We start from the raw sequence: 21631 nt of genomic DNA, 5'->3' as shown, positions 1-21631 counted from the left end.
TGCAGGAACTTCTGGGCCTTGGGACCAGACAACCCCTCTTGGCCCCCAGCTCCCCTTGGCCATAGAGGAGTGTGCCAAGGGAGCCAGGCTTGCCAGTCAAGAAAGCCTTCCTTCCGTCTGCCTTGCTCCTAGGGCCAAGCTGTCATTAGGGCTCGGTTGCCTGGATGAGGCCCCAGCTTCCTGTGAATCAGGTGCTTGGCGGCAGGGGGATCCTGACACCCTACTCCGTGGCCCCAGGGATGCCATGGGGCTGGTATTGCTCTGTTCTCAGAGGCTCACCCTGTTCTATTAGAACTGTCTGCATTCTCCAGGGGCCCACCCAAGGACTGCCTTGGGAAGGCTGCCGAGACCGAGGGAGGAGAGGGGCCCGTGGCCTCTGAAGGACCCCAGACCCTGGGGTCTGTCACAAGCACATGGAGGGGACAAAACCAGCAACTGGCGTCAGTGGAGACGGAAGCTGGTGGAGTGAACATCCTGCAAAGGCCAAAAGCCCTGGTTAAGATGAGCAGGACCTGCCCAGACTCAGGAGGCACCTCCCAGGTACCTGGCACTGTTTTGAGGGTCTCAGCTCAGCACAGCCCCGCGGGAAGGCGTTGCCCTTCAGATTCCACCTGAGACCTGCCCCGAGAGGTTGAGGAGCCTTCCCCAGGTCACAAAGCCCCTGAGTGGCTGAGCTGGGATTCAAGGCCAGGCAGCCTTCCACACCCACCCCCAGGAACCACCCTCGCTGCCTCCTGTCATCTGATAGAAGGTGGCGTGTGTGTGATCTTCATCTCACAACAGGCAACAAGGCAAGTGGTGTCAGCTCATTTGACACAGTGGGAGCAGAGCAGATCGGAGGTTGAGTAACTCTTTCAAAGACACCCAGTGAGCCCAGGGTGGGGCCAGAGCACAATGCTGGGGCGCCTCGACTCCCGAGCCCTGGCCCTTTCCACCGGACCCCACTGCCGCTCCTTAAAAGGCACCGTTTGCCACGCACTTTCTAAACACATTACCTCATCGAATTCCACTCTTGTGAGGCAAGTATTATTTCCATATCATAAGTGAAAAAAACAGTTCAGAGAAATCGACTTGCCCAAGGTCATGTCTGAAAAGTGGTGCCAAATTTGAACCCAGTGGGGGTCTGGCCTCTCTGCCCGGGTGGGCGTGGAGAAGTGTGGCAGAGGCCTTGGCCAGAGGCAGGACCCGGGCGCTGCTCCAGCTCCCTCCTTAAAAGGTGCGTTGCCCTGCAAGGTGAGCCGGTGGCTGTGGCCATCCCAGGTTGGCAGCCTCTGCCCGTGAGGCTGATCATGGCCGTGAGTCATGCTGGCTGTGCTCACGGAATCCTCCTGGTGATCCTGTTTGACCAATTCCAGGACACTGACCTCACCGGGGATGCCGCTGGCTCTGGGCTGTCAGCCCACGGTCATTCTCTGGGTGCCACATTGGGCCCCATGACTGTGGATGGGGTTGGCAGACACCTGCTGGAAGCCTTTAGCCACCAGGTTGGGAAGCCGGGGAAAGGGGACAAAGTCGCAGGCTTCCCGAGCCTGAAGACAACCCGGGATATGGCCCCTGTATATTTTTTCTTGACACCCAGTGCACGTGGTTGCCTGCAGAGAGGCGGCAGGGGTGGAAGCTCGAGTTTGCTGGGCTGGCTGCTTGACTTCCACGCTCCCTTGTGCCCCTCAGCTCCGCCCTACCAGGGAGCAGGTGCCAGCCCACAGAGGAGACGGAGCGCCAGGGTGGGCAGTGAGACAACTGAGACACCACTCTGGGCAGGCACGCTCACCTGCAGGCAGCGCCAGCATGGTTCAGAGTGAACGTTTGGTGGCCACTCACACAGGTTCCTTCTAAATATACAGAACATGGAGCCGGGCGCGGTGGCTCACGCCTGTAATCCCAGGACTTTGGGAAGCCGAGGCGGGTGGATCACCTGAGGTCAGGAGTTCGAGACCAGCCTGGCCAACATGGCGAAACCCCTTTTCTACTAAAAATACAAAAATTTGCCGGGCGTGGCAGTGCACGCCTGTAATCGCAGCTACTTGGGAGGCTGAGGCAGGAGAATCGCTTGAACCTGGGAGGCAGAGGTTGCGGTGAGATGAGAACACACCATTGCACTCTAGTCTGGGCAACAGAGCAAGACTCCATCTCAAAAATAATAATAATAATAAAAATAAACTTGCAGAACACGGGAGAGAAACTGACCCTGTCATCAAGGAGCTTATTATGCCCAGAGACCTCAGAGCACGGGGCGCCGGTCATCCCTGAGCTGATGTCAGGGCAGCCTAAGGCACCTCAGGCTACCCAGCATCCCTTGTGAGGCAGAGGGAAGGGGAGGCTTGCCCAGGTCACAGCACCTTTGTAGTAGGGCTAGGATTTTAACCCGGGCTCTCACTCCAGCCTACCCTAAAGTGGAAATGAGGTAGGGCCTTTTCTACGCTGGCCTCAGGAGAGGGGAGTGAGGAGGGCCGCTGTGTTTCTGAGGAGGTAGAACTCGGGTAAGGACCTGTCAGGTCAAGAGGATGTTGACGGCGCTGCTGCCACTGCCTTCCGAGCAGTGCCTGCCCCTACCAGGGGCCAGGGCCAGCTCAACCCCCACCCCGGCCGCCTGGGGAAAGCTGCTCCAGGAAGCGAAGGTAGTGCTGGCCAAGCTGCGGAAATCCCGAATGTGTGGGCTCTGGGCAGGGAACGGCCCAGAAAACAATGTTGGGGCCGTGTCCATGGAGGGCAGGATGCTGGCGACGGTAAGGCTGCCAGGCCTGCAGCCGCAGTTCCTCTCCGATGCCTGGAACACCAGCTGCAGGCGTGACCCTTACCCTGGCCAGGGCTGGGGTCCCCGGCTCTGCAGGAAGCCTGGGCCACTGGTTGTTCCAAGGAACCTCCCTTTCCAGCCACCTCCTGGCTGCAGGCCCCCCCAGGCCCTTCCACGGTGATAGAAGTAGGGCGGGAAGAATCTGATCTGGATTCAGATCCTGCCTGTGCCACCTGCAAGTTGTGCGACCTTGGGCAGGCTGCTTTTCCATTCTGAGGCTCTGTGTTCACGGTGGTGAAATAGGCTGGCAGTGACAGCTGGCACTTACTGAGTGTGTGCTACATGAATCCTCTCACTGAGTCTCCACCGCAACCCCAACAGCAGGGACCATTGTTACCGCCATTTTACAGACAAGGAAACTGAGGCTTGGAGGGCTTAAGTAACTTGGCATGAATGGAGTTCAGAGCTCAGATTTGAACTCCGATGTGGCCGGACACGATGGCTCACGCCTGTAATCCCAGCACTTTGGGAGGCCAAGGCAAGAGGATCGTTTGAGCCTAGGAGTTCGGGACCAACCTGGGCAACATAGCAAGACCCTGTCTTTACACAAAATTTAAAAAAAAATTAGCCTGGCATGGCGGTGTGCGCCTGTAGTCCCAGCTACTTGGGAGGGTGAGGTGGGAGGATCACTTGAGCCCAGGAGTTTGAGGCTATAGTGAGCTGTGATCTCACCACTGCACTCCAGCCTGGGTGACAGAGTGAGATCTTGTTCTAAAAAATAAAAATATAAAAAATAAATTTTATTTATTTATTTTATTGTTTTTGAGATGGAATCTTGCTCTGTTGCCCAGGCTGGAGTAGAATGGCATGATCTCTGCCCACTGCAACCTCCTTCGCCTCCTGAGTTCAAGCAGCTCTCCTGCCTCAGCCTCCCGAGTAGCTGGGATTACAGGCATTTGCCACCATGCCTGGTTAATTTTTGTATTTTTAGTAGAAACAGGGTTTCACCATGTTGGCCAGGCTGGTCTCAAACTCCTGACCTCAAATGATCCGCCCACCTCAGCGTCCCAAAGTGCTGGGATTACAGGCGTGAGCCACCGTGCCCGGCCCAAAAATAAATTTTAAAAAAGGGGAAAAGAATGAACCCCAATGTCTTTAATTTCAAATTCTCTTTGTTCTTGCTCATTAGCTATACTGCTTTCCTTTTGGGACAAGGTTTTCACCATTTTGAGCCCCAGTTGCACCATCTCCAAGTTGGGGCTCATGACAGTCCCTGCAAATGAGGTCACGGCTCAGCAGGTGGAAGCACGCTGGCACCGATTGGAAGTTCCAGAAGTGTTATCTGTGTGGCTTTCTCCTTTCCCCTACCCCCAGCCACATCTTAAACAGGAAACACCGGGCTTCCCAAGGTAAGGACCCCAGCACCATGGGAGGGGCCCGTCGCTGTACCAGGCTGAGGGCCTTACATTCAGCCCTGTGACCTGGCCCTGGTCCCTGCCACCACCTCCTCCTGCTCTGGAGCTGGCTTGGTGGTGCCTGTGTCTCAGGCAGCCCTAGGGAGTTGGAGGCAGTGACCTCACCCTTGGAGAATGCCCACTGGAATTCACCCTGAACCTGCTCCTCTGTTCTCCATGCCTCCCAGCCACTTCTGAGCGCACTCTCACGCTTACCTCTGTGGCAGCCAACGGAGCGTCTCCTGGGAGCAAGAACACTCCTGCTAGACAGCTGTTAACTACCAACTGGAGGACAAGCCAGTTCTCCACCTTCAGCCAGCTTGCTGGGTGAGCTTAGGCAAGTAGCTGTCTGTCTCTGGTCTGCCCCCTACCTCAGTGTCCCAGCAAAGAAGTCATCCAGTGTCCAGCCTCTGTGCCGATACCACCAGAGGTGCCTTCTTCGACCTAACACCTGTGGAAGGAGGGACTGATTCCATTTCATACATGTGGAGACAGAAGCCCAGAGAGGTAGTGACCGTGCCTAAGGCCACACCCTGGGAAATGGACTGAGGGTGGCTGACCCCATGCCCTGCTCCTCCTCCTCTGCCACACTGCTGCTCCCAGGAGTGTCAAAGGATCCCTCCTCTCATGCCCAGAGTAGGGACCTTGATCCGCTTTTTTTTTTTTTTAGATGGAATTTTGCTCTTTTCCCCCAGGCTGGAGTGCAGTGGCACAATCTTGGCTCACTGCAAGCTCCACCTCCTGGATTCAAGCGATTGTCCAGCCTCAGCCTCCCGAGTAGCTGGGATTACAGGTGCCCAGCTAATTTTTGTATTTTTAGTAGAGATGGGGTTTCACCATGTTGGCCAGGCTGGTCTCAAAATCCTGACCTCAGGTGATCTACCCACCTCGGCCTCCCAAAGTGCTGGGATTATGGGCACGAGCCACCGTGCCAGGTGGAGCCTCTCTTTTATCCACCTCCCCCAACCCCCACCCCACAAGGAGGCAGGAGATTCCATTTCCTCATGATCCACTCCTGAGGCGGGAATACTCTCTCCAGGCCAAACTGGCTACCTCAGCCAGCAAGCGTCTGTGCGGAGCCCCTCTGGGCCTGCTGGGTGATAGGAACTAGAGCAAGACACAGCCCCTGCCTTCCAGGAGTTCACAGCAAACACATGGACACATCTAAAGTCTAAATGCTACAGGAGAGATGACATTTACCACCATGGTGACAGAGTACAGACTGGCCGCAAGCCCTGAAAAGCAGCACATCTGCAAAAGGAGATTGTCGGGTAAAGCATGGGAAGGAGGTGATGCTTGAGAAAAGTTGTTTTTTGTTTTTGTTTTGAGACAGTCTAACTCTGTTGCACAGGCTGGAGTGCAGTGGTGTGATCTTGGCTCACTGCAACCTCCACCTCCCAGGTTCAAGCAATTCTCCTGCCTCAGCCTCCTGAATAGCTGGGATTGCAGGCACCTGCCACAAGGCCCAGCTAATTTTTGTATTTTTAGTAGAGACAGGGTTTCACCATGTTGGCCAGGCCGGTCTCAAACTCCTAACCTCAAGTGATCCACCCACTTTGGCCTTCCAAAGTGCTGGGATTACAGGTGTGAGCCACCTTGCCGGGCCAAGAAGAGTTTTGAAGAATCGACTGGGACTCGTCCTGAGAGGCAAGTGGTGGGAAGGGTATTCCAGGCAGAAGGGAGAGCGTATGCACAGCACAGAGGCAGGAAAGTCCATGGTCCATCCCAGGAGGAGGCTTTGGTGGGGCCTTGGAGTCACACAGTCCTGGCTCCAGTCACAGCCCTCTCCGTCACTAGCCAAGCCTCAGTTTCCTTCATCTCTGAAATGGGAGGACAGGACCCTCCTCATGGTTATGAGATCGTAAATGTAATGTCAGAACACAATGCAATTACGTGGTAAGCGCCCTATTAAACGCTTCTCTTATTGTGTGTTAGTAATGTGTATTAGTTTGCTAGGCCAGCCATCACAAAATATCACAGACTGGGTGGTTTAAACAACAGATGTTTATTTTTTCACAGTTCTGGGGCTGGAAGTCCAAAATCAAGGTGCTGGCAGGGTTGGTTTCTCCTGAAGCCTCTCTGCTTGGCTTGCGGGTGGCCACCTTCTTGCTGGGTCCTCACATGGATTTTCCTCTGGGCACACACATCCCCCAAGTCTCTCTCTCCTTTTTTTTGTTTTGTTTTGTTTTGAGACGGAGTCTCGCTCTGTCACCTATTACCCAGGCTGGAGCACAGTGGCACAATCTCGGCCCACTGCAACCTCTGCCTCCTGGGTTCAAGCGATTCTCCTGCCTCAGCCTCCTGAGTAGCTGGGACTACAGGCACCTGCCACTACACCTGGCTAATTTTTGTATTTTTAGTAGAGACGGGGTTTCACCATGTTGGCCAGGCTGGTCTCTAACTCCTGACCTCAGGTGATCCACCTGCCTTGGTCTCCCAAAATGCTGGGATTACAGGCATAAGCCACCATGCCCAGCCCAGTGCCAGTTTATGGAGGGGGACATGGAGGTACAGAGGGCTTTGGGTTATGACTCAAGGTCACACAGCTAGGAAGGAGCAGACAGGATTTAAACCTAGACAGTCTGACTCTGGGGTCCCTGCTCCTCTCCCCATGCCCTCTCCACCCTCCCACACACACAGCAGGAGCTCCCTGCACTCCACAAACACCCTTTTGCATGTCACTCAGCTCCGGTCAAACTGTTAACTTCTCCCCCATTGTCGGATACTAAGGAATTTTTCAGTTAATATTTTTCCATTATAAATGAGGTTGGAACAAACCTGTTTGAACATAAGAGCTTATTTCTTCTTTTGGATTTTATACAAGTGGGATTTCCAGGGCAAAGGGAGCATTTTATTGTCCCCGAGAGCGGGGAAGGAGTGAAACCCGAGCTGGGCCCCGCCTGCACTGCCCACCTGCCGGTTTACTTTGTGGGAGGGGAGGCTCGGCAGTAGGGATGTCCTGAGACTTGGCTCGGCACTGCCCCACCTCCAGCCACCTCTTTGTCTCTGCCGCCTCTGCCTTAGAAAGTTCCGGGCCCCAGCCAGGCACGGTGGCTCACGCCTGTAATCCCAGCACTTTGGGAGGCCGAGGTGAGCAGATCACGAGGTCAGGAGATGGAGACCATCCTGGCTAACACGGTGAAACCCCATCTCTACTAAAAATACAAAAAATTAGCCAGGCGTGGTGGCGGGAGGCTGAGGCAGGAGAATGGCGTGAACCCGGGAGGCGGAGCTTGCAGTAAGCCTAGATCGCGCCACTGTACTCCAGCCTGGGTGACAGAGCAAGACTCTGTCTCCCCAAAAAATCCAAAACAAAACAAAATAAGACAAAGAAAGTTCCAGGCCCCAAATCCTGGTTTTTCTGAGATTCTGAGTTCAAAATAATGGTTCCTATAAGGATATGGTCATTTTTTATTTTATTTTTGAGATGGAGTCTCACTCTGTTACCCAGGCTGGAGTGCAGTGGCAGGATCTCAGCTCACTGCAACCTCCACCTCCCAGGTTCATGTGATTCCCCTACCTCTCAGCCTCCTGAGTAGCTGGGATTACAGGCACCTGCCACCACGCCCGGCTAATTTTTGTATTTTTAGTAGACACAGGGTTTCACCATGTTGGTCAGGCTGGTCTGGAACTCCTGACCTCAGGTGATCCTCCCACCTCGGCCTCCCAAAGTACTGGGATTATAGGTGTGAGCCACTGCGCCCAGCCTGGTTTCCCATATGATTTCCCCTATTAGTAGTTCCCATCTCGAAGGGTCCCTATGATGTTGAGATAGGGAAGGAAGCTAGCAAGTTTGGAGCAGGAGAGGGAAATGGAAGCCCAGAGAGGGCAGGGGCCTTGCCTGGGCTCAGCCAGCAGCGAGAGCAGAGAATCCCAAGGTGGCCCTGAGCTCCCACTACCAGTCCTCGGTTTGCTCTTGACTGAGGCTGGCAGTGAGGTTGAGGGAGAGAAAATTATTTCTCAAAGTGGTGGTTGGGGAGTGACAGGAAGCAGTTCCCTTAGGGAGTCTCTTTCCCAAGGGTCAAATCCCTGGATCTTGGAAAGCTCGTTGTTTCACATCTGCACTTAGTTGCCCGACTGGGGACCCCATGCAGCCTGGGAATGACCGTGAAATGGCTGCCCAGTGGGCAGGGTGTTTGCTCTGCACTTGGCCCTGACCACTGAGCCACAGCCAGGCCGGCTGCAGGGCTGCAGCTCTCAGCCCACAAGAACAGGAGCCCCCGAAGGAGGGGCAGAGGCTCTGCTGGGCCAGGCCCAGGCCCTTTTTGCCCTACTCTGGCCCCACCCCCAGGGGCTGTGGGGAACAGGCAGAGAGGCCAGCTTCCTGGACAGTGGCCTGGGAGGATGAGGCAGGCAGGGAAGGAGCCGGAGCTGCTCGGGCCAGGGTAGCCTGGGAAGATGAAGTTGGTGTTTGGCTAGTGAGGCCAGGGCGCACCCCCACACTCACTCAGGCATGCGCGGCCTCTGGTGCCTCTCCAGAGGATGCATTTCCCAGAACTCAGCTCCCCACAAGTCATGACTTCAGGGCAGGAAGGCCCTCAGGGACCAGCTCCAACTGCCTGAGTTGACAGAGAAGGTCCAGGGCCAGCCAAAGGAAGGGACAGGCCTGAGGTCAGCTGGTGAGTGGCCACGTCAGGAGGGGGTTCTTCAGAAACCCTGGTCGATCACTCCCTTCTCCAGCCGTCGAGGAACCAAACTGTTGGCATTGTGTCTATACATCTGTCTCCCCCACCTGGCTAGAGTCCCACAGGTGGGGGCCAGCCTTCTCTCAGTTCCTGGTCCCAGGCCCAGGGCCTGGTGCAGGAGTGGCCCATGAGTCCCTGTCAAAGTGAAGCAAACTCCTACCTGGGCCTTCTTTTTTTTCTTTTTTGAGACAGAGTCTCACTCTGTCGCCCAGGCTGGAGTGCAGTGGCACGATCTCAGCTCACTGCAACATTTGCCTCCCGGGTTCAAGCGATTCTCCTGCCTCAGCCTCCCGAGTAGCTGGGACTACAGGTGCGCACCACCACACCTGGCTTGTTTTTGTACTTTTAGTAGAGACGGGGTTTCACCATGTTGGCCAGGCTGGTCTCGAACTCCTGACCTCAAGTGATCCACCCGCCTCAGCCTCCCAAAGTGCTGGGATTACAGGCGTGAGCCACCACACCTGGCCTCAATGCCCTTCCAATGTCCTTGTCCCCCATCCCTACTGTGCTGTGAGTCTAACTTTTTTGGGGAATCAGAGTGTGACTTTTTAAAATCTGTTGGACCTTCTGGGCTGGAGAGCCTGTGTCCCCTTCAGGAACGCAGTAAAATACTTGGGAATAATGGGACGGGTGCAGGGGAGGTTGGAAGGTGGCGGTCCTCAGAGACTAACGTTTAGAAGTTGATCTTGGGTGACCAACCATCCTGGCTGCCTGAGACTAAAGAGATTCCTGGGACGTGGAACTCTCAGTGCTAAAATAATAATAATAATAATAATACACATTGGGCCGGGCACAGTGGCTCACGCCTGTAATCCCAGCACTTTGGGAGGCTGAGGCGGGCAGATCACCCGAGGTTGGGAGTTTGAGTCCAGCCTGACCAACATGAAGAAACCCCATCTCTACTAAAAATACAAAATTAGCTGGGCGTGTGGGCAACTGTAATCCCAACTACTTGGGAGGCTGAGGCAGGAGAATTGCTTGAACCTGGGAGGTAGAGGTCGCAGTGAGCCGAGATCGCGCCATTGCACTCCAGCCTGGGCGACAAGAGCAAATCTCCGTCTCAAAAAAAAAAAAAAAAAGTACACGTTGGTCACCCTGATGCCGACTCTTCCACTCATTGTGTAACCGTGGGGAAGTTACTTCACCTCTAATCACTCATAGGTTTATCTGGAAAACGGGGTCCATATCCATGCTGTGTCCCTCCTGGTTGCCATGAAGCTCTGGGCAACTGAGGGGGGAAGCATTAGAATGCCCTACATCCCGGCAGATGTGAGGGTTGATGACCATCACAGTTAGGGGTCTCTTCTCTCCCCGACCCCTACTGCCTGAAATTCATTCATTCGCCAACAAACACTGGTTCAAGATCTATATATGTGCCAGGAACTAGGTATGCATAGCTGGAAAAGGAAGAGGCCAGCCTTCATGGCACTCACAACACATACATGAGCAATTAGAGCACAGGAAGAGGAATTTGGTCAACGAGTTTTTCATGAGCAGCTACTATATGCCAGGCATTTTACAAACATTAACTCATTCGATCCTCACAATAACACAGTGAGGTGGGGATTATTTTACCCCCATCTTGCAGATGAAGAAATTGATGCTCAGAAAGGTTAAGTAATCACTACAAATGTCAGGAAGAAGACGCTAAGAAGTATCTCTCTGAAGGGTGAGCACGTGTCTGGGAGTGTGCAAGGAAAGGGCTTTCCAGAAAGGAGCAGCAGGTGCAGGGCTGGGAGGCACGGAACGGCAACCAGGGAACTGTAAGCTCACAGAGCCCTGTGCACTGAGCCGAGGGAGGACACTCAGGTGATCGGGAGGCTGTGAAGCGGAGTAACTGTCAACGAGTGGACGGCAAGTAGCAATTGGACAGATTTGGGTTTTTAAGGACCCGGGCTATGAAGAGAGCTTGGAGGGAGAATATGGTGGGCTGCGTCATGCTGGCAGCTTCCTCTTAGGGTTAAAGTCTTGTCTGGCCAAGAAGGGCCCAGTTAGCCAAACACTTCCAGTGGATCCAAGGCTCATGTTTACCGAGGCTTGGGCTCAGCCTGGCTAGGAGACTTCCTTTGTGCCAGTTAGAGAAAGGCACCTGCTTGGGGCTGACCGGATTGGGGAAGCCTCGCCATGTAGCCGGGAGGCTCAGGCTTGGTTATCTGGGGGCTCCGAGGTGAGCTCACTTAAAGGACCCTCCCTCGGCTATCTAGCGAGGACCTGCGGCCCAGGTGGGGTGAAGGAAAAAACGCCACACAGCACAAACCGAGTCAGTGCCCTAGCAGGGCCTGAGGAGGGCAGACCCCTGGGGAAGGCAGGCCCCAGGGTTTCTGCAAGTTGAGCCCCTGCAGGGTGGAGCCCGTCGTGAGTCTTAGCCTGGGTAGGGACCCCTCTCGGGACCTGGGGACGCCGCTGAGGAGGCTCCACCCTCGCAGAGAAGTTTCCCCCCTCGGGGGTTCGGCCGGGCCTCGGTGCGGAGCCAGCTGGGTGGAACGCCCCGCCCCTCCCGCGCCGAGCCTGCCCATATAAGGCGAGCGTCGCGCCGCGGCGCCCTTTATGGAGCGGTTGTCGTCACCTGCGTCCGCCCGCCTTTCACCGCAGCCAGGCCGCCAGCCCGCCGGGGGCACCTCTCCAAAGCCACGCCCCTCCGCGCCTCTCTGCCAGGAAGCGCCGCCCCGGCCCAGTCCGCCGTCCGCGGGGAGGCAGCCCAGGCGCGCACGACCCCCTCGAACACACCCCGGCCCCGCGCACCTGCTCCTCATCGTGTCCGGATGCGCAGGCGCCTGGGACCAGCGGAACAAGCCGGGGAGGGCTTGTTCGGCCACAAAGTTGGTTGCCGGGGTGGGGAGAATGTGCTGGATTACCCACCCACGAGCCAGGAGTCGGGGTGGGAGGAATCAGCCTTCCTCCAGGACGGCGCAGCCCACCGGGCGCCTGCTAAGTGCCCAGCACTGACCTCACCTTTAGAAAAGAAATCTACCTATGCCACGATGCGGAGTGAGTGCCGCTCCGCAAAAGCCAGTGCTTTAGAACTGCAGGGCCTGGTTCAAATCTAGCTAGGTTGCTTACTGTTATGTAATTCTTTCCTTCTTTCTCTTTTTTCTTTTTCTTCTTTTTCTTTTTTTTTTTTTTTTTTTTTTTTTTTTGAGACAGAGTCTCGCTCTGTTGCCAGGCTGGAGTGCAGTGGCGTGATCTCGGCTCACTGCAACCTCCGCCTCCCGGGTTCAAGCTATTCTCCTGCCTCAGCCTCCCAAGTAGCTGAAACTACAGGCGCACACCACCACGCCTGGCTAATTTTTGTATTTTTAGTAGAGACGGGGTTTCGCCATATTGGCCAGGCTGGTCTTGAACTCCTGACCTCGTGATCCACCCTCCTCGGCCTCCCAAAGTGCTGGGATTACAGGCGTGAGCCACTGCGCCCGACCTGTAATTTTTCTTTTCTGTTTTTTAGAGACAGGGTCTCGCTCTGTCACCCAGGCTAGAGTTCAGTGGCGCTGTCGGCTCACTGCAGCCTCCAACTCCTGGGCTCAAGTGCTGCTGCCATCTCAGCCTCCTCAGTAGCTGGGACTACAGGTACACGCCACCACGCCCAACAGTGACAGGTTGGACACTACTGTACTGCCACGCTGGGTCGGGTGAGTGCCTCTCTCCTTCCCATCTGTGGCCAAAAGGGGAGAGATCTGAGAGGGAGGCTTCTGAGCCCCTGGCAGCTCCAGAGCCTGGCTCCGCCTCGGCGGCGCACACCTGCAGCACGTGAACTCCTCCATAGGTCCCCACTTGGCTGCCTCTAGACTCAAGTCTCCTCACCTGGGTTATTACTAACCCCTGCCCCTGATTTCCAGATCCCCACTCCAGGCATCCACCCGAACACCAGAACCTGAGGATTTTCTAAACTATGAATCTGACTGCTTATCTCTTTCCTGTTTAAACCCTCCTACCGGCCTGGCGCGGTGGCTCACACCTGTAATCCCAGGACTTTGGGAGGCCGAGGCAGGAGGATCACTTGAGGTCAGGAGTTCGAGACCAGCTTGGCCAGCCTGGTGAAACCCCATCTCTACTAAAAATACAAAAATTAGCCGGGCATGGTGGCGAATGCCTGTAATCCCAGCTACTCGGGAGGCAGGAAAATCGCTTGAACCCGGTGGGCAGAGGTTGCAGTGAGCTGAGATCGCACCACTGCACTCCAGCTTGGGTGACAGAGTGAGACTCCATCTCAAAAAATTAATTGATTAATAAATAAGTTAATTAAATAAAATAAACCCTCCGACTTTTCCCCAGTGCCTGCAGGAGAAAGACCCAGGCCACAGGTGCCCTCCAGGTTCTGGGGTCACAGACCTCTGGGCTCTTCTACCACTTCCTTCTTTCACTTTACTCTCAGGCCAGCCTGAACCCTTTGCAGTTTCCTGAGTACACATTCAGTAAATATTTATTGTGTTAGGATGCCACACCAGGAATCCTGCTCAGCAGTGGTGAGCAGCCCAGCAGGCATGGTCCCTGCCCTCAATACATAAATGTAAAATAAAATTTTTCCTTTCCCTCTCTTTTTTTTTTTTTTTTTTCGAGACAGGGTCTCACTCTGTCACTGAGGCTGGAGTGTGGTGGCACAATCATGGCTCACTGCAGCCTTGACCTCCTAGGCTTAAGCAATCCTCCCACCTCAGCCTCCCGAGTAGCTGGGACCACAGGCATGGGTTACCACACCTGGCTAATTTTTGTATTTTTTGTAGAGACGGGGTTTTGCCATGTTGCCCAGGCTGATCTCAAACTCTTTGGCTCAAGCGATCCACCTGCCTCAGCCTCCCAAAGTGCTGGGATTATAGACTTCAGCCACTCGCCAGGCGAATGTTTCTTCTCATGTGGCATGTGCTGTGGAAGACCTACACGGTACCAACAGAGTTTTTGCCTTTTGCCTGGAAGAACCCCCCCTACCCCACTCAGCCCTGCTCTAGACCTCTGCTTGGTGACCCTGTCACCAGCCTCTTAGATGCCTGTACAGTGTCATCAGCTCCGAAGGTCCCCCTTGCATGTGCCTTTATTGGGGCTGTTATCACCCTGGGGTGGGGATTTGCACACCTGGCTCCCACATTTGACCACTTTCCTTGGGGAAAGTGGACTTATTCTGGTGGTCTGATGTCCCCAGTGGCTTGTGAGGTACACAGCACCTAGTAGGTGCACAGCAAGCCTCTGCTCCAGGACCCCATCCCCATGAATCCATGGCTCAGTCACACATTTTCTTGATTCATCCATTAAATCAGAGGGGCCAACTTCCCCTCCCTCTGCCAGACCCTGATACAGACCAATTGATTCAGAGGGTAAAGGGGTCGTCCTGCCTGGCTCCTCAGGGTTGCAGAAGATATGACTGGCAGAGAAAGTGACTTTTTTTTTTTTTGAGACAGAGTCTACCTCTGCCTCCCACGCCGCAGTGCAATGGCTCAATCTTGGCTCACTGCAACCTCCGCTTCCCAGGTTCAAGCAATTCTCCTGCTTCAGCCTCCTGAGTAGCTGGGACTACAGGCACGTGCCACCACACCTGGCTAATTTTTGTATTTTTAGTAGAGACGGGGTTTCACCTGTTGGCCAGGCTGGTCTCAAACTCCTGACCTCAGGTGATCTGCCTGCCTCGGGGCCTCCCGAAGTGCTGGGATTATAGACCTGAGCCACCGCGCCTGGCCAGAAGTGATATTTGAACAGGACCTCCTTGGGTGAAGGAAGTGTTGGGCATCAGGCCGAGAGAGGCGGAGTTTGAAATAACTGAAGAGGTGTGAACATGGGCAGCTGCTGGGGTGGGGCCCCCCCGAGGGTGTGTCCCCAGTGTGTGGTCGGAAGTGCGGGCCAGGAGCTGAGGAAGGCAGTGAGCTCCGCAGGACGGAAGGGCCTTGTGTGCTGGTTCACTTCCCCCTGTTGGGGAACAAAGGCTTACGACGCATGAGCCAAGACAGTGAGTGACATTTCAAGGTTTTGTGACTGTGACCCAGAGTAAGAAATACATTACATCACAACCTGGCAGAGCGTGCAACATGGAAACAAGAGTTTCATGAGACAGTTTGCTTTTTTTGTTTTTTCTTTTTTAAAGAGACAGGATCTCACTCTCACCCAGGCTGGAGTTCAGTGGTGCCTCAACCTCCTGGGCTCCAGTGATTCTCCTGCCTCAGCCTCTCAAGTAGCTCTGGTTGCAGGCACCAGCCACTGCACCAGGCCATTTTGACCATTTTATTTTATTGTATTTATTTTGTTTTTCAGAGTTGGGGCCTTGCTCTGTCACCCAGGCTGCCGTACCATGGCACGATCATGGCTCACTGCAGCCTTGAACTCCTGGGCGCAAGCAATCCTCCCGCCTCAGCCTCTGGAGTAGCTAGGACTATAGGCACACACCACCATACCCGGCTAATTTTTTCTTTCTTTCTTTTTTTTTTTTTTTTTGTAGGAATGGGGCCTCACTGTGTTGCCTAGGCTGATTTTAACTCCTAGCCTCAAGCAGTCCTCCTGCCTTGGCCTCCTAAAATGCTGGGATTAGAGGCATGAGCCACCACACAGCCAAGACAGTTTGCTATTACTACCCAGGATGTGCTCTGAGATTTTCCCTTCTATTTTATCATCGTCATTATTAAATCCTTATTTGCGGCCAGGCACGGTGGCTCACGCCTATAATCCCAGCAGTTTGGGAGGCCGAAGTGGGCAGATTGCCAGAGCTCAGGAGTTCAAGACCAGCCTGGGCAACATGGTGAAACCCCGTCTGTACTAAAATACAAAATATTAGCCAGGCATGGCGGAGTACACCTGTAGTCACAGTTACTTGGGAGGCTGAGGCAGGAGAATTGCTTGATCCCAGGAGGTGGAGGTTGCAGTGAGCCAAGATCACACCACTGCACTCCAGCCTGGGTGACAGAGTGAGACTCCATCTCAAAAAAAAATTCTGATTTACTCAGAGTACCGACTTAATTAATTTCAAGATCCACCAGTGGGTCATGACTTACAATTTTTTGGTTTTTGGTTTTTGGTATTTTTTTGAATAGAGACGAGTTCTCCTATGTTGCCCAGGCTGGTCTTGAACTCCTGGGCTCAAATGATCTTCACGACTCAGCCTCCCATAGTGCTGGGATTACAGACATGAGCCGCCGCACCCAGCCATACCTGAAGTTTTAAAAAGGGATTCGAGATGGGCACAGTGGCTCACGCCTGTAATCCCAGCGTGTTGGGAGGCCGAGGCGGGTGGATCATTTGAGTTCATGAGTTCGAGACCAGCCTGGCCAACATGGTGAACCCTCGTCTCTTCTAAAAAATAGAAAAATTAGCCGGGCGTGGTGGTGCACGCCTGTAATCCCAGCTAATCGAGAGGCTAAAGCAGGAGAATTGCTTGAACCCTGGGAAGTGGAGGTTGCAGTGAGCCGAGATAGCGCCACTGCACTCCAGCCTGGGTGATGGAGCGAGACTTCATCTCAAAAAAAAGAAGGGATTCCTCTAAGCATCCTTCCACTCCAGGCATAATGGTCTGGTGGTGGTTCAAAAGGTATTTTAGCTTTTAGAATTCTGGGAGATAGATCTTCACAGCTATTTTAACTTGCAAAGCAGCCTGAGGGGATGGGGCAGGTCCCTTCTCCCCCTCCAACTCCCCACCATCAGAATACCCCATGGCTGCCCAGTTGGTTCCCAGGTCAGTCTGAGATCCAAACAAAAGGGGAGGAAGCAACCTCAGGACGTTTCCCGTCACCCTGTTTCCCATCACCCCCAGCTCCGGGAAGTCCCCACGTGGCAACCAGTTCCCTTGCCAGGCTGGCTTCGGATGCCACCATCCCTGGGAGGGGGTTGTGGAGGAAAGAAGGGTGGTTGAGGGCCCAGCTGGGTTCTGGCCTCTGTCCCACCATGAGGGGCCAATTCCCTTTGTGTAGGGGACGGCTCTTGCCTGCTCTGCCTGCCTGCCTGTAGGCCTGGCACTCAGCAGAGGGTGGATCCACGGCTCAGAATCCCCACCTCCACCCCCACCCAAGCCTCTGTCCAAGTTCCTCTTCTGTCTGGGGTCTCTGAGGCCCCTGGAGAGATTGGAGAAACCCGGAATGGTGGGGGCGCTACCAACTCATAACCTTTGGCTCTTATAACATTGGATGGAATCCAACCCCCTCATTTTAGAGAGGTGGAAGCTGAGGCCCAGAGATGGGAAGGCGCTCACTCACGATTACACAGGAGTTGGTCTCAGAGTGATTGCAGAAGACACAGGTCTCCTGACTCCAAATCCAGTGCTCCACGTTGGGGGCTGCTAGGGAAGGGAAATGTTCTGTCCGGGAGAAACTGGACAGCCCAGGGGGCCTGCGTCGTGGCTGTGCTTCTGCCGGCCCCTTTCTGTGGACCTGCCATAGTTCCTGCCCTACCTGGTGTATAAAACAAGGATATGGGGCTGGCGATGTCCCCAAGTCCTTCAGGTTCTGAGCCTGTGCTGCCCTGGCCTCTCCTTTCTGTGTGCTTATGTGGGACGTGGGGGAGCCCTCCCTCCCCACCTAGAAGAGTGACAGGAGGAGGATGAAACCTGTGGGATCCTGTTTCCTCACAGGAACTTGCTGCTTCCCTGAGGCCTCAGAATTGGAATAGTGGCTTCTAGTCCTTTCTCTGGAGACCCTGGATATAGCAGAGGCCCCACAGTCACGCTTTGCCTTCTCAGTTCAATTTCCTTTTCCTTGTGTGTGTCTCTTCTTCAACTGGACCTACAGCTTCTTGGGGCGGGGACTGAGACCCTACGTCTGCAATCAGGGACTCCTACAGCCGGGAGGCATTTGGGTCTCTTCCCAGCGCAGGCAACGTAAGTCCTAGTTAGGATCTGGGGCTCTTTGCAGAAAGTGCTGGTGTCCTTGAGAGCAGTTTATTTAGCCTCTCTGGGCTCAGAGTCTCCATCTGTGCACTGAGAATCATCGTCATCACTTTGAAAATTAAATGAAGGACCACATGTAAGGCTCTTAGTGTTGTGGCCAGCACACAGCAGGCACTTGGTAGTTATGTGTGGCAGGGATGTATTAACCTAGTTTCTCCCCACGTGGTGCAAGTGCCGCTGGGGAGGAGAGAAGTCACATTGCTTTGCCCAGAACTGTGTTAAGGGCTTCACCTATGTTATCCCAATGTGCCTCACCGGGACCCTGTGAGATAAATGTGCTCATTGCCTGTTTCACAGACAGGACACTGAGGCTCAAAGAATGAAGGGTCTTGCCTCCATCACACAGCCAGTGGGGAGGGAACAAACCCAGGTCTCACTGGCAGCAGACACTGAACCTCCCTCCCATTCCCACCAGATGGAACCCAGTCCCTTTCTCAAGTCCCGACTAAAGAGATTTTCTGGGCCAGGCGCGGTGGCCGACGCCTGTAATCCAAACACTTTGGGAGACTGAGGTGGGTGGATCACCTGAGGTTAGGAGTTTGAGACCAGCCTGGCCAACATGGTGAAACCCCATCTCTACTAAAAATACAAAAATTAGCCAGGCAAGGTGGCATGCACCTGCAATCCCAGCTACTCAGGAGGCTGAGGCAGGAGAATCACTTGAACCCGGGAGGCAGAGGTTTCAGTGAGCTGAGATCGCGCCACTGCACTCCAGCCTGGGTGACATAGTGAGACTCTGTCCCCAGCAACAAAAAGAGATTTTCTGAAATTGAACAGCTCTGATGGTTGGCCTGTTCTTCCTTCTACTGAGATTTTATGGTATCCAGCCATGGAAACTGACTAATTAGAATAGAAATGGAGGAATACAACCACAGAGGAGCTGGAGCAGAGGGAGTCCAGATGCCCAGCCCTCAGAGAGCAGGGTCATTCCCAGGGACAGTCCCTCCCAGGCCAGTGGCTTCTGTGCCTTTGGCTGTTGGTCCTGAAAGAGAGGTGCCTTCAGGGTTAGGGGTGTCTGAGCTCAGTCTCAGGGGTCACACAGACAGGGTTCTGGCCCCAGCCCCAGCACTTCCTCTTCACTGGCTGAGTCTGTGGCCATCTCTCCAGGATGTGGCCTTCAGATGCTGTAACTCCTAACTCCCAGTCTCTGCCCTTCCCCACTCAGTGTCTCTCACCAAGGTTCAATTTCTGGCTGGGTGTGGTGTCTCACACCTGTGATCCCAGCACTTCAGGAGGCTGAGGCAGGAGGATCGCTTGAATGCAGCAGTTCAAGACCAGCCCGGGCAACAAAGTGAGATCCCCGTCTCTCTTTTTTTTGAGATGGAGTCTCTCCCTGGTGCCCAGGCTGGAGTGCAGTGGCATGATCTTGGCTCACTGCAACCTCTGCCTCCCAGGTTCAAGTGATTCTCCTGCCTTAGCTTCCCGAGTAGCTGGGATTATAGGCACTCACCACAATGCTTGGCTAATTTTTGTATTTTTAGTAGAGATGGGGTTTTACCATGTTGGCCAGGCTGGTCTCAAACTCCTGACCTCAAGTGATCCACCAGCCTCGGCCTCCCAAAGTGCTGGGATTACAGGCATGAGCCACTACATCCAGCTGAGATCCCCATCTCTACAAAAAAATTGTTAGAGATTGGCTGGTCGTGGTGGTGTGCACCTGTAGTCTCAGCTACTCAGGAGGCTGAGGTGGGAGGATCACTTGAAGCCCAGAAGGCAGAGGTTAGAGGTTGCAGTGAGCCGTGATTGCACCACTGCACTCCAGCCTGGGTGACAGAGCGAGACCCTATCTCCAAAAAAAAAAAAAAAAAAAAAAAGGGACGATTTCTGGGAAAGAGAGCCGGGTTGCCTAGCTCGGGTCACAGGCCTGCCTCTGAGAAGAGGGGACAGTACCCTGTGTTTGGCAGTTTCACCATCACCAGATGGATGGGGGAGGGGCAGATCCTTGCCACGAACAGAGTTTGTGCTCACTACCCACCAAGTTCATAGATTGAAATCCTAACCCCCAAGGTGATGGTGTTAGGAAGTGGGGCCTTGTGTTGTGATTAGGTCATGAGGGTGGAGCTCTCATGAGTGGGATTAGTGCCCTTATTTTATTTGTTTATTTTTTTTGAGATGGAGTTTCGCTCTAGATGCCCAGGCTGGAGTGCAATGGCACAATCTTGGCTCACTGCAATCTCTGCCTCCTGGGTTCAAGCGGTTCTCCTGCCTCAGCCTCCTGAGTAGCTGGGATTACAGGTGCCAACCACCATGCCCAGCTAATTTTTGTGTTTTTAGTAGATATGGTGTTTCACCATGTTGGCCAGGCTGCTCTCAAACTCCTGACTTCAGTTGATCTGCCCACCTCAGCCTCCCAAAGTGCTGGGATTACAGGCGTGAGCCACGGCACCCGGCCGGATTACTGCCCTCATAAAAAAGACTCAGGCTGGGCACCGTGGCTCACGCCTGTAATCCCAGCACTTTGGGAGGCTGAGGTGGACAGATCCCTTGAGCCCAGGAGTTTGGGACCAGCCTGGGCAACATAGTGAGACCCCGTCTTTGCAAAAATACAAAAATTAGCCAGACATGGTGGCACACACCTGTAGTCCCAGCTACTCAGGAGGCTGAGGCAGGAGAATCACTTAAACCCAGGAGGCCAAGGTTGTAGTGAGCAGAAATCGTGCCACTGCACTCCAGCCTGGGTGACAGAGTAAGACTGTCTCAAAAATAAATAAACAAATAAATAAAAATAAAAGACACTCAATGCACAAACAGGCATGTAAAAGAAATTGGCTGGGTGCGGTGACTCACCCCTGTAATCCAAGCACTTTGGGAGGCCAAGGTGGGGGGCATCGCTTGAGTTCAGGAATTTGAGACCAGCCTGGGCAACATGGAGAGACCCCATCTCTATTTAAATAAAAAATAAAATAAACTAAAATAAATACAAATAAAATAAGAAAAATAAAAGAGACCCAAGAGAGCTCTCTTGCCTCTTGTGCTATGTGAGGACACAGTGAGGAAAGTGCCATCTATAAGACCCCGAATCTGCCAGCACCTTGACTTTGGACTTCCAGCCGCCAGAACTGTGAATTGTGAGAAGTAAATTTCTGTTGTTTATAAGCATCCTGAATAGATTAAGATGATCCCCAAAGACAGGGGTTGCTATGACCAGAAGAGGGAGGTGAAAGATGCTGGGAAGGCCAATCAGAAGCTCCCCACCCCAGAAGGCCACCTGTCTGTTCTGGTCCTGGCCTCCGTGAATACAAACTTCTCTTTCATTGTGTTCCTCCTCCCTTCCTTCCTCTTTCCTCCCTCCCTCACAAATTGTTTGCTCTGTTTCAGGCATACTAATAAGCCCAGGGAAGAAGAGTCAGACCCAGTGCCAGCGCAGGGGAAACGCATCTAATCCAGAACAGCAGACACAGCTCCTCTCCCATGGAACACCCAGAGCAGACATTGCCAGTCGATCCCAGCACCCTTTCCCCGGGAGCCTGGGCTCAGCCTCAAGACTTTGCTTCCGCTTCACAAAGCTCTGCACAGCCAGTTCTCATCAATTGGAGTTGGTCCAAAATATGGAAACTCTTTGCTCTGCCTGACCCAAACCATTCCTCTTTCCCATAACAATTCTGACATTTAAAAACAGCAGAATTCCCCAACACTCATCCCCGGGAAAAGAAATTTGGCATTGTTGGTACTTTCAACTCCTGACCCTGGTCAGCTGTTGAGTCAACTTGTGGTTGAGTCTGAGCCCCATTTCTGCAGACAGAAAGACCGCATTTGCGTTTCTGAGTCTCAGGTTTAGGATGAATTTTGTATAGTCACTGTAACAAATTACTGCAAACGTAGTGGCTTAAAATAAAACAAATCCATTAGCTTACAATTCCAGAGATTAAAAGTCCAAAATGAATCTTTAAAAAATTTTTAATTTAGTTTT

The 21631-nt window shown here is 53.7% G+C and overlaps 1 long non-coding RNA gene across 2 annotated transcripts, besides 8 other annotated features; it reads left to right on the top strand.

The window, feature by feature from the left end:
* Positions 4662-5194: an enhancer, noted in NCBI's record as "H3K27ac-H3K4me1 hESC enhancer chr22:36857497-36858029 (GRCh37/hg19 assembly coordinates)". NCBI's record gives its function as "activates a minimal SCP1, AML or CMV promoter by ChIP-STARR-seq in naive H9 embryonic stem cells {active_cell/tissue: H9 hESC(naive)}" and the evidence as "EXISTENCE:reporter gene assay evidence [ECO:0000049][PMID:30033119]".
* Positions 10390-11039: an enhancer, noted in NCBI's record as "NANOG-H3K27ac-H3K4me1 hESC enhancer chr22:36851652-36852301 (GRCh37/hg19 assembly coordinates)". NCBI's record gives its function as "activates a minimal SCP1, AML or CMV promoter by ChIP-STARR-seq in primed H9 embryonic stem cells {active_cell/tissue: H9 hESC(primed)}" and the evidence as "EXISTENCE:reporter gene assay evidence [ECO:0000049][PMID:30033119]".
* Positions 11040-11690: an enhancer, noted in NCBI's record as "NANOG-H3K27ac-H3K4me1 hESC enhancer chr22:36851001-36851651 (GRCh37/hg19 assembly coordinates)". NCBI's record gives its function as "activates a minimal SCP1, AML or CMV promoter by ChIP-STARR-seq in primed H9 embryonic stem cells {active_cell/tissue: H9 hESC(primed)}" and the evidence as "EXISTENCE:reporter gene assay evidence [ECO:0000049][PMID:30033119]".
* Positions 11040-11757: a biological region, named in NCBI's record as "NANOG-H3K27ac-H3K4me1 hESC enhancer GRCh37_chr22:36851001-36851651".
* Positions 11348-11757: a silencer, noted in NCBI's record as "silent region_13669". NCBI's record gives its function as "represses an Ori minimal core promoter by ATAC-STARR-seq in GM12878 lymphoblastoid cells {active_cell/tissue: GM12878}" and the evidence as "EXISTENCE:reporter gene assay evidence [ECO:0000049][PMID:35858748]".
* LOC124905111 (uncharacterized) lies at positions 11987-21577 on the top strand. Of its 2 annotated transcripts, none has more exons than XR_007068089.1 (2): positions 11987-12499; positions 21040-21577. It is a non-coding gene; the product is annotated as an uncharacterized LOC124905111 (long non-coding RNA). The 2 variants fall into 2 exon arrangements; XR_007068088.1 differs by lacking the exon at positions 11987-12499 and adding an exon at positions 13622-13748.
* Positions 14130-14633: an enhancer, noted in NCBI's record as "H3K4me1 hESC enhancer chr22:36848058-36848561 (GRCh37/hg19 assembly coordinates)". NCBI's record gives its function as "activates a minimal SCP1, AML or CMV promoter by ChIP-STARR-seq in primed H9 embryonic stem cells {active_cell/tissue: H9 hESC(primed)}" and the evidence as "EXISTENCE:reporter gene assay evidence [ECO:0000049][PMID:30033119]".
* Positions 14634-15138: an enhancer, noted in NCBI's record as "H3K4me1 hESC enhancer chr22:36847553-36848057 (GRCh37/hg19 assembly coordinates)". NCBI's record gives its function as "activates a minimal SCP1, AML or CMV promoter by ChIP-STARR-seq in primed H9 embryonic stem cells {active_cell/tissue: H9 hESC(primed)}" and the evidence as "EXISTENCE:reporter gene assay evidence [ECO:0000049][PMID:30033119]".
* Positions 14655-14854: an enhancer, noted in NCBI's record as "active region_18935". NCBI's record gives its function as "activates an Ori minimal core promoter by ATAC-STARR-seq in GM12878 lymphoblastoid cells {active_cell/tissue: GM12878}" and the evidence as "EXISTENCE:reporter gene assay evidence [ECO:0000049][PMID:35858748]".
* Positions 21578-21631: the final 54 nt, after the last annotated feature.

The sequence above is a fragment of the Homo sapiens genome, chromosome 22, assembly GCF_000001405.40.
Source record: "Homo sapiens chromosome 22, GRCh38.p14 Primary Assembly".
Lineage (NCBI taxonomy): Eukaryota > Metazoa > Chordata > Mammalia > Primates > Hominidae > Homo > Homo sapiens.
Note: the sequence above shows the minus strand (reverse complement) of the source record. Positions and strands in the feature narration are given on the sequence as shown.